Here is a 15243-nt window from a genome sequence, read left to right on the forward strand (position 1 = left end):
TAGGCAGGTTTGCAAATACAAAATCCACAAAGAATGAGGATTACTGTAGCTAAGTCATTTAGGGTTATGTTACACTCATGAGCTATAGACAAGGCCATTCTCCCAGGGAGTCATTTACAGCAACAAGAATCTGTAACTCCTCACTCACTGCCTCAATTTTGGTTTCCTGGGTCCTAATGCTAGGGAAGTGTCCTAATTTCATCACTCACCTCTGTTTAGATCATAGTACAGACAGCCCATCTGTGAGGGTTTTAGACAGCCAATACCCTGGTGACATCATAGAAGACAACCTGGGCCTGAAGAGTTAAGACCTGAGGGCTGAATCCTGGCTTGATCCATCTTGTATCACAAGCATTTAAGCAGAGGGTGGAGGCTTTGGGGCAGAATGGAAAAAAACACTGGACTTGAATTTGAACTCTGTCTCTAACTTGCTGAATACATTTAGCTAAGTTACCTAATTGCTCTGAGCCTATTTCTTCTCTGCAAAATGTCCTGGCCCACCAGGCTGTCAGAGAGACCAAAGGAAGTAGTGGTGGTGGGAAATATTTGGAAAGCAGTAAAGATCTGTGTAAAGGCAAGATGGAAAGTCATTGTCATGATGTTAATTAATGCAGTCGCAGCATGCCACTCTCTGACCTGATCCCCACAGTGTGGGTCCACCTCACTCGGGCCCTGTCATTTCAGAACCTAAAGAGAAGCAAGCCTGGGCCAGCCAACTCAGGATAAGAGGAAGAGACTGAGGCATAGGGAGGAGGAGAAACGGCTGTGGGAAGCTCCAATCCACAGCCAGAACTGATTGACCCGATTCAACTCAGGGAGGCTCAGGGCCCTAGTTAGAGCAAGGCAGAGGCCCTGGGACCACCATGAGACCTCATAAGGCTTTGGCCACCCCAAGCCCATAAACCTGTTTCCTTTGCCTCCCAGCACCATGAGTGCCGAGGAGGATGCCAGGTGGCTCCGGTGGGTGACTCAGCAGTTTAAGACCATTGCAGGAGAAGATGGGGAGATCAGCCTGCAAGAATTCAAAGCAGCTCTGCATGTGAAAGAGGCAAGTGTTGGGCCAAGGTGGAAGCCCTGCATTTATCGTTATGTGGCCTGGTTCTCAGGGCATAGCCCTTACAGGGAGGGAAAGGGAACTCCCTGGGGTTCCTGAGGTCTCCACCTTGTAGCGGGCTGGCGGGATGTTTATGGCACCCTCCCATTCCTCTTAATAGTCATGGCCTCCTGGGTCTTCAACACATGAAGTTGGAAGTCAGTAGCTTGTCAAATCTTAAGCAATATGATTAACCTCACAATTTCCACTAGGCTCATGGGCAGAGCTGATGCTCTGACTTAAGCTTCCTCTCAAGATAAGCTTGTCAATGGTCTATACCTATTAAAGTCCTGTCTGCTGTGGCACACTGTTCCCAGTCCTCCAGACTCCATAGCTACCCTGCCCACCCCACACAGCCTGCATGCCCTGACACACAGAGGAGACATCAGCACGGAAGGGAGGACTGAGTCTGAAATGCCAGCCTCTCCTAGCTGTCCTTGGGACTGGCATTGAATAGTGGCCTGGTCCTTGACAGGGACTAGCCGATGAGCATCTGAATGCCCTGCTTGAATCAGAAGGACCCTCCCCTGCTGGTCCTGGGGATACTACTAAGAACTCTAACGCCACGCCTCCTTTCACAGCAAATATGGGGAAGGAAAAAATCCCATTCTCCCTAATGATACAATCCCATCCAAATGGGAGGGTGTAAAACATCTTAAGACAAAGAGCATTCGGGATGGTAGAGAGTGATAAAGGTACTACCCAGGGATCCTGGGGATGAAGAAGAAAGCCAAGGCAAGGTGGCAGTTTTGTCAGTCCACAGCGGACTTCGGCCTATACCTCATACTTGTGAACCCCTCATAGTTTTATTAAGTCAGACACTAGAGCTCCACAGGGTCCTCCCCCTGCCTTGAGGGGAGCATCCCAGGACACAGCATCTTTGGGACACCCATCATCCAAGCCTGTCTTCTTAATTTCTGTGCTCCCAGGGTCTAACACCAGGCCTGGCAGGCAGAGGCTACACAGTACAAGACTGCTCAGTGAATGAATGAGTGAACTGGTGATTAAGAACAAGCCTTAAGTATAAAATGTAGGCAGCCTTAAGAACAAGCAAAAGAAAGGACTCAGATCTTCCAGTGGAATCTATAAGTCCTTCCCAGATTCACTCATCCCTTGCGCTCACCCCAAGTGGGGTGAGACAGGGCTGGAAGGAGCCTGCAGGAGGACCCTCTGTCTGACCCTTTCCCATGTTGGTTAAGGGGCCACCCAGAGGCTGGGATTTAAAGGCTGATGGGGGTGATTGTATGTAGGGGACAGAGAGCCCATGCAAATTACAAAGTCCAGTGCCTGAAGGGGGCCTGAAGTCCAAACCAAGCCCATCCTTACTGCAGGGATCGGAACAGGTCTTCCATTAGAGCAGATCACGATGGGTGTTCAGGCACCTGAGTTCTGCCTGAATACCGCCACTCTGTGGTGCACCCCCCCACCACCACCCCAGACACAGGGAGACAGTGAACAAATTCAAAGCCCAGGCCCTGCGGCCACAGTTGTGCTGTCTTCCACCCTTCTCGCCCACAGTCCTTCTTTGCAGAGCGATTCTTTGCCCTATTTGACTCCGATAGAAGTGGCACCATCACCCTCCAGGAGCTGCAGGAGGCACTGACCCTGCTCATCCATGGCAGCCCCATGGACAAACTCAAATTCCTCTTCCAGGTGTATGACATCGATGGTAAGGGCTCTTCCTGGGTGTGGGCTGGGGTGGGGAGATCAGTGGGCCTCAGTGAGAACTGGCCATTTCACCTTGGCAGGCCTGGAGGTGCCATCCCGGCCTCCTGAGCCCAGCCTGGGACTGGTTTCTCCAGGTGAGGCTGACACTTCCTTTCCTCACATCTCTCTCCCAGTCCCCAGTCTCTCTGTCTAATCCCTGCCCCCCTTTCTGGGGCAGCAGGGAGAAAAGGAGGGACTCTGGCACAGGAGACAAATGCCTTCTATTCAACTTACCAGAGGCCAGAACCTTTTTCTGATCTTTTCTATGTCTGAAAAAGAAAATCTCTGTTGTTTTTTCCTTTTCCTCATAGTATAAGCTCACTATGAACATTTTAGACAATACAGAGTGGTATAAAAAAGAATACAAAAATCACCCGTAACATTTTGCTATATTGCCTTCTAACTGGTTGCACATACACACGCCACACACCTTTTTTTTTTTAACAAAATGGGATTAAAAAATGAATCCCATTTTTTAATGGGATTTTTCACTTACAAAAATGAACTTTTTCACTTACAAAAATGAACATTTTGAAATGTAAAAATATATTGCTTTACAGTGTCATTTTTATTGTGGTAAAATATACATAATGTAAAATTTGCCATCTTAACCATTTTTAAGTGTACAGGTCAGTGGCATTAATTAAGTACATTCACATTGCTGTGCCACCATCACCACCCTCCATCTCCAGAACCTTTTCATCCTTCCATTGAAACTCCTTGCCCACTGAACACTGAATCCCCATGCCTCCTCCCCTAGTCCCTGGCAACCACCATTCTATTCATACATTCTGTCTCTAAGAATCTGACTTCTCTAGGCACCTCATCTAAGTGGGATTATACAATATTTGTCATTTTGTATCTGGCTTATGTCACTTAGTATAGTATCCTCAAGCTTCATCTGTGTCATAGCATGTGACAGAATTTTATTCCTTTTAAGGCTGAATAATATTCCATTGTAGGTATATGCCATATTTTGTTTATCCATTCACCAATTAGTGGACATTTGGGCTGTTTCTACGTTTTAACTATCGTGATTAATGCTGCTATGAACATTGGTGCACAGATATCTGTTTGAGTTCCTGCTTTCAATTCTTCCGGGTATATATCCAGAAGGGGAATTGCTGGATGACATGGTAATTCTGGTAATTCTATTTTTAATTTTTTGAGGAACTGCCATACTGTTTTCCACAGTGGCTGCATTATTTTACATTCCTACCAGTAATGTACAGGTGGTCCAAGTTCTCCACATTCTTGCTAACACTTGTAATTTTCTGCTTTTTTTTTTTTTTCTGAGATGGAGTCTCACTCTGTTGCCCAGACTGGAGAGCAGTGGCATGATCTCAGCTCATTGCAGCCTCCACCTCCCAGGTTCAAGTGATTCTCCAGCCTCAGTCTCCCGAGTAGCTGGGACTACAGGCACCTACCACCATGCCCACTAATTTTTGTATTTTTCATAGAGATAGGGTTTCACCATGTTGGCCAGGCTCGTCTCGAACTCCTGGCCTCAAGTGATCCACCCGCCTTGGCCTCCCAAAGTGCTGGGATTACAGGCGTGAGCCACTGTGCTCAGCCTTATATTCTGCTTTTTGATAATAGCCATCCTAATGGGTGTGAAGTGGTAACTCACTGTACTTATAGTGTCATTTTTAGTGGCTGCATTATACTCCACTGTATGTATCATGCAGCATCGTGTAGTATTTAAGACTCTAAGCACAAGCTACCTAAGTTCAAATCTCAGTTCCATCACTTATTATATGATCTTAGACTAGTTACTTAACTTCTCTGTACCTCAATTTATTTATCAAATAGGAATTATGATAATAATATTTCATACTCATGGGGTTGAGATGAAGGTTAAATTAGTTAACTTACGCGCGACGGGGAGCCATCAAAGTGTGTTGAGCAAGGGATTCGCAGGGATGGACCTGCATTCTGAAAAGCTTTTCTTCAGCAATGTTCATTTTGCTGCCCTGGTGCCAGAGGGCGGAAAACAGGTAGCTGGCTTCACCCAGGGATGGGATATTCTTAGAGTCAGTAGAATGGAAGGTTAGAGGGAGAAGGAAGGAGAATGTGCACATGAGAATTATTGTGAGGGAGGACCCTGGATTTGAAATTGGCCAACAGAGAGATTAAAGCAGATAGAAGAGGCCATGAAGGGGCCAGGGGGAGACTGGTCCTCTGGATGAGTCCAGAAACCTGCTGTCATCTTGGCTGTTGACTAGGAAAGCAGAACAGGCGGTGTGACTGGAGAGTGGTATAATATACTCTAATTGATTCTGCATCGTAATGTGATTTGGGCCGGAATGATGATCACAACACCAATGAGAATTTCCATGTATATGCAATTTCCTTCTCCCAGATACTGCGTTAGGTGTTTTACCATTATCGAGTTTCCTTGAGCTAGTTCTGAGAGGGAGAAATGATTACTCTCATTTTAGAGATGAGCAAAGTGAGGTCCACTACCCCAGAGGACTTAGAGCCCACTATTGCACAGTTAAGGAGGGGCAGGAGCAGGATGCCACACTGGGTGTGTCCATATCCAAAGCAGGCCAAGAAATCATTAATCACGGGCTCTGCTGCTCAGGAAGAATAAAATACAGAAAAATCTCATCTCTGTTGGTAGTTTTGGCTTCCTTATCCCATCACTTTCAACCACCCATGTTTACATAAGGCCACACTGCTGGGCTGGAATGCCTAGCTGTGGCCCCTCTCAAGACAACATGATAAACAGAGCATTTGCTCCAAGTTGAACAACAAGGCACACTCCCTCAGCGCTAACCCACATACAGTGTGCCTTTGGATAACTGAGGCTGTGGGCACACCGCCCCTTATAGATTAAGTAAGCAGGTGTATTTTCTGGGCAGATAGTCTTGGAAGTTGAGTAGTACTTAGGGAGTTACCGATTCTGGAGACAGGCAACCACTGAAGCCAAAGATTCTCCACCCGTGGGGAGGTGTCCATTGCTGTTGAGCTAGGCAGTCGGGAACATGGAAGGTTTCTGAGCTGAGGGTGACATTTGGTCCTTCAGTTGCATGGTCTATACCCCCAAGGAAAGCTGACTGGCAGAAAGCTGGAGGTGGGTAAACAGAAGAGGCCCACCACTTCTTGCAGTGTGTGCACGGCAGGGGGCGTCTGCAGGTACAGAGTGGGGTGCTGGGGCAGGCCCGCACTGGGCTTCATCCCCACTCGGGACAGGCAGTGGCTCCATTGACCCGGATGAGCTGCGCACTGTGCTGCAGTCGTGTCTGCGCGAGAGCGCCATCTCGCTGCCTGACGAGAAGCTGGACCAGCTGACGCTGGCGCTCTTCGAATCGGCCGACGCGGACGGCAACGGGGCCATCACCTTCGAGGAGCTCCGGGACGAGCTGCAGCGCTTCCCCGGAGTCATGGAGAACCTGACCATCAGGTACGGCCGGGTCTCGGGCATTGGCACTGTCCACGGCGGCGTTAGACTCCTGGTCGGAAGTGTGGCAGGAACTCACCGCGGATCCACTCTGCCCTACCCCGCCCTGCCCCGCCCCTCCCCAGTTTAGCCCACTCTTGAGTGTACTGCAGGGCAGCTGTCTTCATTGCCTCCACTTCCTGCAGTGTCTCTGCAGAATCAACTCAAGGTCTGAGGCACCTACTGTGTGCTGAGCACTTTTGCATATACCAGTGCATTTTATAGCAATACTCGTTTTACAAAAGGAAATTACTTCGCCTGAAGTAAGTTGCCTAGGATCACACAAATAATTAACAAAGGTATTTATGCAATAAATGTTTGAGCAGCTTCTATGCAGCAGGCACTGTTCTGATTAATGCAGTGAATGAGGTCTCCACCCTGCTGGGGCTCCATTCCAGACGAAGAGACATGTCATTTACACCAATAAACACACAAACTAGAGAAGCACAAAATTAATAAGTGCTGTGGAGAAAATAAGAGTGTAACAGCAAGACCCAAGTCTGTCCGACTCCAGGCTCTGAATAGAGCCGGTTTTGTAGTTCATTCTTCCTGTGTATTAACTTTTTTTTTTTTTTTTTCTGAGACGGAGTCTCACTCTGTCGCCCAGGCTGGGGTGCAGTGGTATGATCTCGGCTCACCGCAACCTCCGCCTCCCGGGTTCAAGCGATTCTCCTGACTCATCCTCCCGAGTAGCTGGTATTATAGGTGCCAGCCACCACGCCCAGCTAGTTTTTGTATTTTTAGTAGAGACGGGGTTTCGCCATCTTGGCCAGGCTGGTCTCGAACTCCTGACCTCAGGTGATCCGCCCGCCTTGGGTTCACAAAGTGTTGGGATTACAGACGTGAGCCACTGCACTGGGCACCTACCTGCCTATTAACTTTCTTGGGGCTTACTTACCAAAACATATTTCAGATTCTTCCATCCTTTTCGACTGCTTCTTTTAAAATTGGAAAGTAAAGAGAAGTAATAAAAATAGCGGTGGTTGTGGCATTAGGCAGACCGGAGTCCCCTTTCAGCTCCGCGGAGCTGTGCGACTGTGACCAAGCCACTTGACCTCTCTGTTTCCTGGTGTGAAGAAAGCCGGCCTGCTTGCCAGACTTGGTCGGCCATAGCTTGAAGGGGGTCTTTAAGTTAAGACACAGGTGGTCCCCGCCCCACCGCTCGCCTCTGAGCGGAACCCGCCTCTCTCGCAGCGCTGCCCACTGGCTGACGGCCCCCGCCCCCCGCCCACGCCCGCGCCGGCCGCGCCAGCTGACCCGCGCCTACTGGCACAACCACCGCAGCCAGCTGTTCTGCCTGGCCACCTATGCAGGCCTCCACGTGCTGCTCTTCGGGCTGGCGGCCAGCGCGCACCGGGACCTCGGCGCCAGCGTCATGGTGGCCAAGGGCTGCGGCCAGTGCCTCAACTTCGACTGCAGCTTCATCGCGGTAGGCTCTGCCAGCACACGGTGCTCTGAAAATGTTAATTAGGAGCCGAGGTGGGCTCCTCCTAGACAGAGCGACCCACAGAGGACACCTGGAATGCCAGGGCAGGGTGGCACCTTAGAAATCAGCTGGGCCAACGCTCAGAGTTGGAGGACGCCGCCCAGAGAGGGACAGTAGCTTGTCCACAGTCACACAGCCAGTAAATAATAACATAACTGGCATTTTTGTGCACTATGCACCAGGCACGGTGCTGAGCACGCTCCATTTGATCTTCACAACTCCCCTATAGTGGACCCCTGTGCAGGAGCACCTTCAAGAGGAAACCCTAGAAGAGGCTTTGAATACCAGACCATGGAGTTGGAATGTGGTTCTCTGGCTCATGGATGAGGCCTCTAAGAGGTGTTTTTTTTTTTCTTTCTTTTTTTTCTTTTTTTTTTTTTTTTGAGACGGAATTTTGCTCTTGTTGCCCAGCTGGAATGGCACGATCTCAGCTCACTGCAACTTTTGCCTCCCGGGTTCAAGCGATCCTCCTGCCTCAGCCTCCCCGTAGCTGGAATTACAGGCAACCGCCACCATGCCCAGCTAATTTTTATATTTTTAGTAGAGATGGGGTTTCACCATTTTGGCCAGGCTGGTCTCGAACTCCTGACCTCAGGTGATCCACCCTCCTCGGCCTCCCAAAGTGCTGGGATTATGGGCATGAGCCACCACGCCTGACCTCTAAGAGTTTTTGATCACACAACTCCTACCATTAAAACAAAAGCCCTCTTATGCTTATATGCATGCTCTATTATCATTAGCTAATAGACTTATGGCACAAAGTAACTACAGGGGAAGATTCATCATTGATGAGCAGGGATGCCCATCTCTAGCTCAGATACGCTTCTGGATATGAGCTTCTCATTAGAGTGGGTTTTATAGGTTTTATTTTAAATTTATTTTTATTATTTTTAATTATTAATCTTAATTTTTGTGGGCACATAGTAGGTGTATATATTTATGGGGTACATGGGATGTTTTGATACATGGGATGTTTCGATACATGCAATGTGTAATAATCACATCTTGCAAAATGGGGTACCCATCCCTAAAGTGGGTTTTGTCTTAATGGCTCAACGAGCTAACAAAGACTTCATTCCAGGAGTGGGAGACGTGTGATTCATTTTCTTGGTCACTTGCTCATGTATTACTAACACAACTGTTAATCTGTGGTTTCTCTGCTGGGAAACTTTTAAAGCTACTTGTCCTTCCTGTGAGGGGTAGTTAGCTTAGTTTTGGTAAAGTCAAATACTGTAACCTACAAGTCCACATCCTTGGCAAACATAAATATACTGAAAGCAAATGAGCAATGAGAGAACCCTGGTTAACCACTCTGGATTTGGCTCCTGCAAGGCACCTCGAGAACTAACACAACACGTGCCCATCTGACATATGGACTAAATGAGGGCACCAAGTCAACAGAGATATTTTATTTATTTATTTATTTATTTGAGACATGGTCTTTGTCACCCAGGCTGGAGTGCAGTGGACTGATCATAGGTTGCTGTAACCTCAAACGCCTGGGCTCAAGCAATCCTGGGCTCAAGCAGTCCTCCTGCCTCAGCCCCCTAAGTAGCTAGGATTACAGGTGTGTGCCACCATGCCCAGCTAATTAAACAATTTTTTTTTTCTATAGAGACAGGGGTCTCGCTGTGTTGCCCAGGCTGGTCTCAAACTCCTAGGCTCCAGTGATCCTACTGTCTCAGCCTTCCAAAGTGCTGAGATTAGTGGAGTGAGCCACTGCGCCTGGCCCATATATTAAATATTAGTAAAAGCATAGATGTTTCTCATGTGTTTAGACAAAAATTAATACAAATAGACATTCTGTAACTTTCTCTTCCCGCCACAATTCTGGAGATCCTCCTCTAGAGACCCCAGGTATGAATCCAGGGAAGCAACAAGGCATGGGGGCAGGGGACTTTGGTGAGTGTCCTGTTCAGAAAGCACAGCTAGCTCAGGAGGATGCAGGGAGGTGGCTGGGAAAAGAGGACAAGGCAGACAGAGAGTGAGGCAGGGCTCTCTCCCACTCTGCCTGGCCAGGTGCTGATGCTCAGACGCTGCCTCACCTGGCTGCGGGCCACGTGGCTGGCTCAAGTCCTACCACTGGACCAGAACATCCAGTTCCACCAGCTTATGGGCTACGTGGTAGTGGGGCTGTCCCTCGTGCACACCGTGGCTCACACTGTGAACTTTGGTGAGTGATCTGGGGCAGGGTTGGGTCGGGGAGAAGCTTGAGCAGCCTCAAGCCCAGAATGCAGGGCCCAGCCCCTGTGTGTACTGCCTGCCCAAAGGGCAGAGAAGGGGTGCCCTGGATAAGCCAACGCTCTGGACAAAAGTTTCTGCCCGTGCTAGTATCTGATGGTGCAGGGTGGGGATCCCAATGGGAAGGTGGAGTGGGAAGAGCTGGTCTTGCAGTCACTCAACCTTTCTGAGCTTGTTTCCAGTACTCCAGGCTCAGGCGGAGGCCAGCCCTTTCCAGTTCTGGGAGCTGCTGCTCACCACGAGGCCTGGCATTGGCTGGGTACACGGTTCGGCCTCCCCGACAGGTGTCGCTCTGCTGCTGCTGCTCCTCCTCATGTTCATCTGCTCCAGTTCCTGCATCCGCAGGAGTGGCCACTTTGAGGTGCCCCAGTTGCTGCCCTTTTGCTTCCCCCAAGGCCAGGGTCCTACTTTCATTTCTTTCTGTGTCCCCTCTGATTTACTCCAGAGCCCAGGAAGGTCCCAAGCTGGTCTGCATATTATTTGCATGTGATTTGGGACCTGCTGCTGTGTTCTGCCACTGGACTGTAGTTTATGTCTGCCAAGTGTAGATGTTTTGCTGCGGAAGAGTCTGCCTTTTTGCTGGCTTATCCCTTTAGCCTATTTGGATTAAGTTGGGCTTAAAACAGTACAGGGAGGGGAAGGAACATAGGCTCAGCAGGTTTTGAATCCCCACTCCACTGCTTACTGGTCGCTCAACCTTTCCAAGCCTCAGTTCTCTCATCTGTAAAATGGAGGTGTAATTCTCTATGTTATTTTAGGAATTATAGGCGATAATACATGTAAAACCACTAACTACATCCTAGCACATAGGTGCTCTGAAAATGTTAGTTCCATCTTTGCTTCTGTCTCTCCAGCCTCCTCAAGATGCAGAAAGTCACAGAGGACTTGGTTTGGAGAGCTTGACTATCTTGTGGCCTGACCACATCAGAAATAGACATATACTGAGCACGTACCTACTCTGGGCCAGCAACAAGCCTTTGAAGTAGGAATCAGAATCCTCATTTGACCCATGAGGAATTTCACACTCAGAAAAGTAATGAAATTGCCCAAGATCACAAAGCTTCAGAAGGTGCTAAAATTGTCTTCTGCTATTTCTTCTCCACTCCCAGGAAGCCATTGCTGTCTTTCCTTTCTTCCTTCTGAGAATGGGTCGGGGGTAGCGATACTGATGCTCATGATCCCTGTGGGGGCAGTCCACTCTGCCCAGAACCTCCCCAGGCAGATATTTCAGATGTTTGCCTCTGGTATCAGGAATCTTCCCTTACAGCCTCCTTTGGCCAAGCACCCAGAAAAAGAAGCTTCCCAGCCCCAACATCTTACCCAACTCCATCCCCGGGAGAGAGTCAAGGCTCTGAGCACTGCCCTGGCTTTGAGGATAACCCTGAGTCCTGGCTCTGTTCCACCCCCCAGGCCTTGAGCTCTGGAAGTTGACTGCCCCCCCTACCCCCATAGGTGTTCTATTGGACTCACCTGTCCTACCTCCTCGTGTGGCTTCTGCTCATCTTTCATGGGCCCAACTTCTGGAAGTGGCTGCTGGTGCCTGGAATCTTGTTTTTCCTGGAGAAGGCCATCGGACTGGCAGTGTCCCGCATGGCAGCCGTGTGCATCATGGAAGTCAACCTCCTCCCCTCCAAGGTACAAAGGTGGGGGATGGGGAGGTGCTTTTCCAACTCACCCCAAGGGACAGTTTGTGGGGTGGAGCAGCTGGATACCCTGTCAGACCCCCAAGGAAATAGAGAATAGTGTAGCTGCAGCCCCATTGCTATGGAGGAGAGAAGCAAAATGCAAGACCCAGTCCAGCCCTCCAGGAGGGAAGCTTTAGGAAGATGAATGGCAGGGCAGGCAATAAACCTCTAAAATCCGATTTTGGGGAGAACAGTCTCCTTCAGCTCAGTAAGCGTTTATTAGTGCCTACAGGGTGCCAGGCCCTGAACTAGGTTACAGAGAAATAGAGAAGGTTCTGCACTGTCCTGCTTTCTAGGGGAGCCAGCCCTTTCATTACAGTGCAGGGCTGTGTTGCTGGAGGTATTAAACCCTTTGTCTTTGGGAGGTCAGAAAAAGCTTCAGAATAAGGGAGAAGATGCCATATCAGGGTTTTGAGGGATGAATAAGAGTTTGTTGGATAGAGAAGACAAGGAAGGGTATTGCTGGCAGGAGGAACAGCACAGTAAAGACACAGAATTGTGAAAGGGTATACTGTGCTTGGGGGACCACAGGTAATTTGGCATAGCTGGAGCCAAGTTGCCAGGAGGAAGCCAGAGAGGTGAGGAAGGCCTGATTATGAAGGGCCTCCTGAGCTGGGAGACCAACCCCGCAGGCCATGGGGAACCCCTGAGCACGCTGGGAGGAGATGGTGGTATTAAGCTGTGACCATTAATATTCTAGTTAGATTTCTTTAGTTGCTCTGTGGAAGGTAGCTTGGAGGGGGCTTGTGGGGAGGTTCTTGCAAATACAAAGATGAGAGTTCATGAGGGCCTTGACACTGAGGCAGTGGCCATGGGATGGAGGCAGGTGCACATCACAGAAAGACTCAAGAAGCAACTGGTTATGTTTTGCGGCAACAGAGAGGATGGAGTCTAGGACGTCTCCCAGGTGTCTGAGAAAAGGAAGGCAGTTCTAGGCGGGCTCAGCTCTGGACACACTGCGTTAGAGGACCTGGGAGGCTGAAGAATGAGGCTGTGCTCTGTGTCTAGGCTCTGGCATCCAACAGCCTCAGCTGCATTCAGATCCCACGGTTTCTTACCCAGTGGCCTTGGGAAGTTATTTAACCTCTCTGAGCCTCCTCTTCTTGTCCCTAAAGTAGAGAGAAAATAATATCCACGTCATACAACTGCTGTGAGGCCTAGAGATAACACAGTGCTCCAAAGCAATTGTCTGGAAAGATGTTGTTATCCAAGGAGAGATGCCCATTGATGGTTAGAATGCTAGCCACACTCTGGCTGAAGTTCCAAGAAAGGGCTGGAGTAGCCAGGGAGGCATCACAGGGATACGTCACAGAGGGTCCACTAAAAAGCAGTGCTTACACCCTGAGAGGCAGGGTAAAACCAGGGGCCCCAATTCAGACACAGCCTGGCTGCCCCCTCTAGGATTGTTGCCCACTTCCAGATTGGCAGGTTGGCTGCTGAGGTGGGCCACCACTCAGAAGCACAGAAGAGTGTCATGTCTCGGGGCATGCCTGTTTTATGGAGGAGGAGGGCAGCCCAGCTTCTGCCCTCTTGTCCTGTAGCCCCTGGTGGCTTTGGGCCTGCAGGAATGATGCAGATCTCCTTCCTCTTTCCCAGGTCACTCATCTCCTCATCAAGCGGCCCCCTTTTTTTCACTATAGACCTGGTGACTACTTGTATCTGAACATCCCCACCATTGCTCGCTATGAGTGGCACCCCTTCACCATCAGCAGTGCTCCTGAGCAGAAAGGTAATGGCCACCTCCTCCAGTCACTCTGCACATATTCACTGAGTTCCTACCGTGGGCCAAGTACAGGCTGGAAACTCGGAACACAGCACTGAACAAGGCCAGAAACACAAAGTCAGCCTCAAAAAGCTCTCTTTGAAGTGGGAGCAGGCATGCAGACACCGATTGGCATGGCAAGGGCTGTACCAGCTGCACTGAAGTCTTACAGGGAGGGCCTGGCTTGGTGGAGAGAAGCCTTTGCAGACACAGGGGCATTCAGCTGGACTTTGAATGGTTAGCAGGAGTTTACCAGATAGGGAAGGAGATGGGGAGGAGGCAGAGGGAAAAGCAGAAGTAAAAACATGAGGACCTGGAAACTCAGAAGAGTCTTCTGTAACTAGAGCTATGGGGGGTGGCGGGGGGTAGGCAGGTGGAGTAGCAAGGAAAGAAGGGAGGGACATACAGAGAGAGAAAAAGAGCATGAAAGGCAGGTGATGTGGCTGGCAAAGCCAGTTAGAGCTAGGATGGGACTAAGGAGGACTTCAGAAGCAAAGTTGGAATCCAGATGGATGGAGCAGCCAATTGGGAGCCAGGAATGGTTCTTAAGCAGAGGAGTAGCCAGCTCAGGAGAGGATATAGGCATTTTTAAGAGGGCTGCGATGGGAGACCAGGCTTCCCTACTCCCACCTGGACTTGGGCCTTATAGAGCCCCAAGGCAGCAGAATCCCTCACACCCTTCTCCAGCCCTGAACTATTCCCACTGCTTTTTGGGTTCCCAGCACACACAGAACAGTTCAGCTGATGCTTTGCTCAGCTGTCCTCTGACTCTCACCCGTGCACGTGCCTTCCTTCTGGTCCCAGGCTGTTTTTAGAGCTGCTACCTGGACCTCTGCCCTTCTGGCCAGGCCAATGATTGGCCTTCCCACCACGAGAGGTGCCTCCAAGTATGACAAGTGTGGCTTGCACTGACATTTCCAACAGGGAAGGCCTTGAGTGACCTATTACAGTAAGACCCTGGCTTGGCTTCATGAGGGGTATCCAGCCCTGGGTGCTGGGGGTTCTCTGACTCATCCTGGTTACAAGCTTTAGTGTCACTCAGGATGCCTCCCAGACCCAGCCCAGCAGGACCCCTGGCCCAGATCCCTCAGCTCACGATGTAGACCCAAGGCCAGGGTTTCCCCATGTGGGGCTGCATACCCCCTACCTTGGAATCACCTGAATTGTGCCCTCAATGTACCACGGAACAAAGTTAGAGGTTGGAGAGGGTGAAGCTATTTTCTCCCTATTTTTTTCCTTTTCTTTTCTACTTTGTAAAGAACGTCTATGCTCTCAGAGAACTCAGACAATATCAAAATATGTACAGAAGAAAATGAGAATCCTTCAAATAATTTTATCCAAGGAAAACCATTGCCAATTATTTGGTGAATAGGCTTCCAGCTCTCTCTCTCTATCTATCTATCTACATGGCTAATCAGATGGAGAGATTTTGTATACATGGGCTCACACTACAGGCAGTGTTTCATAGCAGCACACTTTTTCTTAGTGAACAGTATGTCATGGAGATCTTTGCATATCAGTGAATATACAGCTTTTCCTTTTTGTGGCTGCATGGTATTCCAGTGTGTGGATACTAATATGGTTATTGACTATTATTAATATTATATGGGCGTGTCATGTATTTCACCAATTCTTTTTCTCCCCTAACTTTCCAAACTTGTTATATTTCACCAGTTCTTTTTTTTTTAGAGTCTCATTCTGTCACCCAAGCTGGAGTGCAGTGGTGTGATCTTGGCTCACTGCAGCCTCCGCCTCCCGGGTTCTTCTGCTTTAGCCTCCTGAGTAGCTGGGATTACAGGCACGTGCCACCATGCATGGCTAATT

The 15243-nt window shown here is 49.3% G+C and overlaps 2 protein-coding genes across 5 annotated transcripts in view, besides 2 other annotated features; both read left to right on the forward strand.

Annotated features, from left to right (window-relative positions):
• The window catches only part of SPESP1-NOX5 (SPESP1-NOX5 readthrough), a 132238-nt gene that overhangs the window by 95079 nt on the left and 21916 nt on the right, over positions 1–15243 (forward strand). For 2 of the 3 annotated variants that reach the window (NR_033672.2, NM_001184780.2), the window contains 8 exons: positions 925–1048; positions 2612–2762; positions 5999–6209; positions 7440–7674; positions 9751–9904; positions 10155–10333; positions 11425–11607; positions 13254–13386. Coding sequence is in view for 1 of the 3 variants with exons in the window: in NM_001184780.2 (NP_001171709.1) it covers positions 925–1048; positions 2612–2762; positions 5999–6209; positions 7440–7674; positions 9751–9904; positions 10155–10333; positions 11425–11607; positions 13254–13386 (1370 nt within the window). In the remaining 2 variants the exon portion in view is untranslated. Of the gene's footprint in view, positions 1–924; positions 1049–2611; positions 2763–5914; positions 6210–7439; positions 7675–9750; positions 9905–10154; positions 10334–11424; positions 11608–13253; positions 13387–15243 lie in introns of all 3 variants that reach the window. The other variant, NR_033671.3, reaches the window with a different exon arrangement.
• Positions 1–15243, forward strand: part of NOX5 (NADPH oxidase 5) — a 48068-nt gene that overhangs the window by 10909 nt on the left and 21916 nt on the right. Inside the window, exons 2-9 of one of the 2 annotated variants that reach the window (NM_024505.4) lie at positions 925–1048; positions 2612–2762; positions 5915–6209; positions 7440–7674; positions 9751–9904; positions 10155–10333; positions 11425–11607; positions 13254–13386. In NM_024505.4, coding sequence (NP_078781.3) covers positions 925–1048; positions 2612–2762; positions 5915–6209; positions 7440–7674; positions 9751–9904; positions 10155–10333; positions 11425–11607; positions 13254–13386 — 1454 coding nt within the window. The remainder of the gene's footprint in view (positions 1–924; positions 1049–2611; positions 2763–5914; positions 6210–7439; positions 7675–9750; positions 9905–10154; positions 10334–11424; positions 11608–13253; positions 13387–15243) is intronic. The other variant, NM_001184779.2, reaches the window with a different exon arrangement.
• Positions 453–953: an enhancer, noted in NCBI's record as "H3K27ac hESC enhancer chr15:69318396-69318896 (GRCh37/hg19 assembly coordinates)". NCBI's record gives its function as "activates a minimal SCP1, AML or CMV promoter by ChIP-STARR-seq in primed H9 embryonic stem cells {active_cell/tissue: H9 hESC(primed)}" and the evidence as "EXISTENCE:reporter gene assay evidence [ECO:0000049][PMID:30033119]".
• Positions 10478–11677: an enhancer, noted in NCBI's record as "CDK7 strongly-dependent group 2 enhancer chr15:69328421-69329620 (GRCh37/hg19 assembly coordinates)". NCBI's record gives its function as "activates an origin of replication core promoter dependent on BRD2, BRD4, P300/CBP, MED14 and CDK7 cofactors, with strong dependence on CDK7, by STARR-seq in HCT116 cells {active_cell/tissue: HCT116}" and the evidence as "EXISTENCE:reporter gene assay evidence [ECO:0000049][PMID:35650434]".

Source organism: Homo sapiens, chromosome 15, assembly GCF_000001405.40.
Source record: "Homo sapiens chromosome 15, GRCh38.p14 Primary Assembly".
NCBI classification, from domain to species: domain Eukaryota; kingdom Metazoa; phylum Chordata; class Mammalia; order Primates; family Hominidae; genus Homo; species Homo sapiens.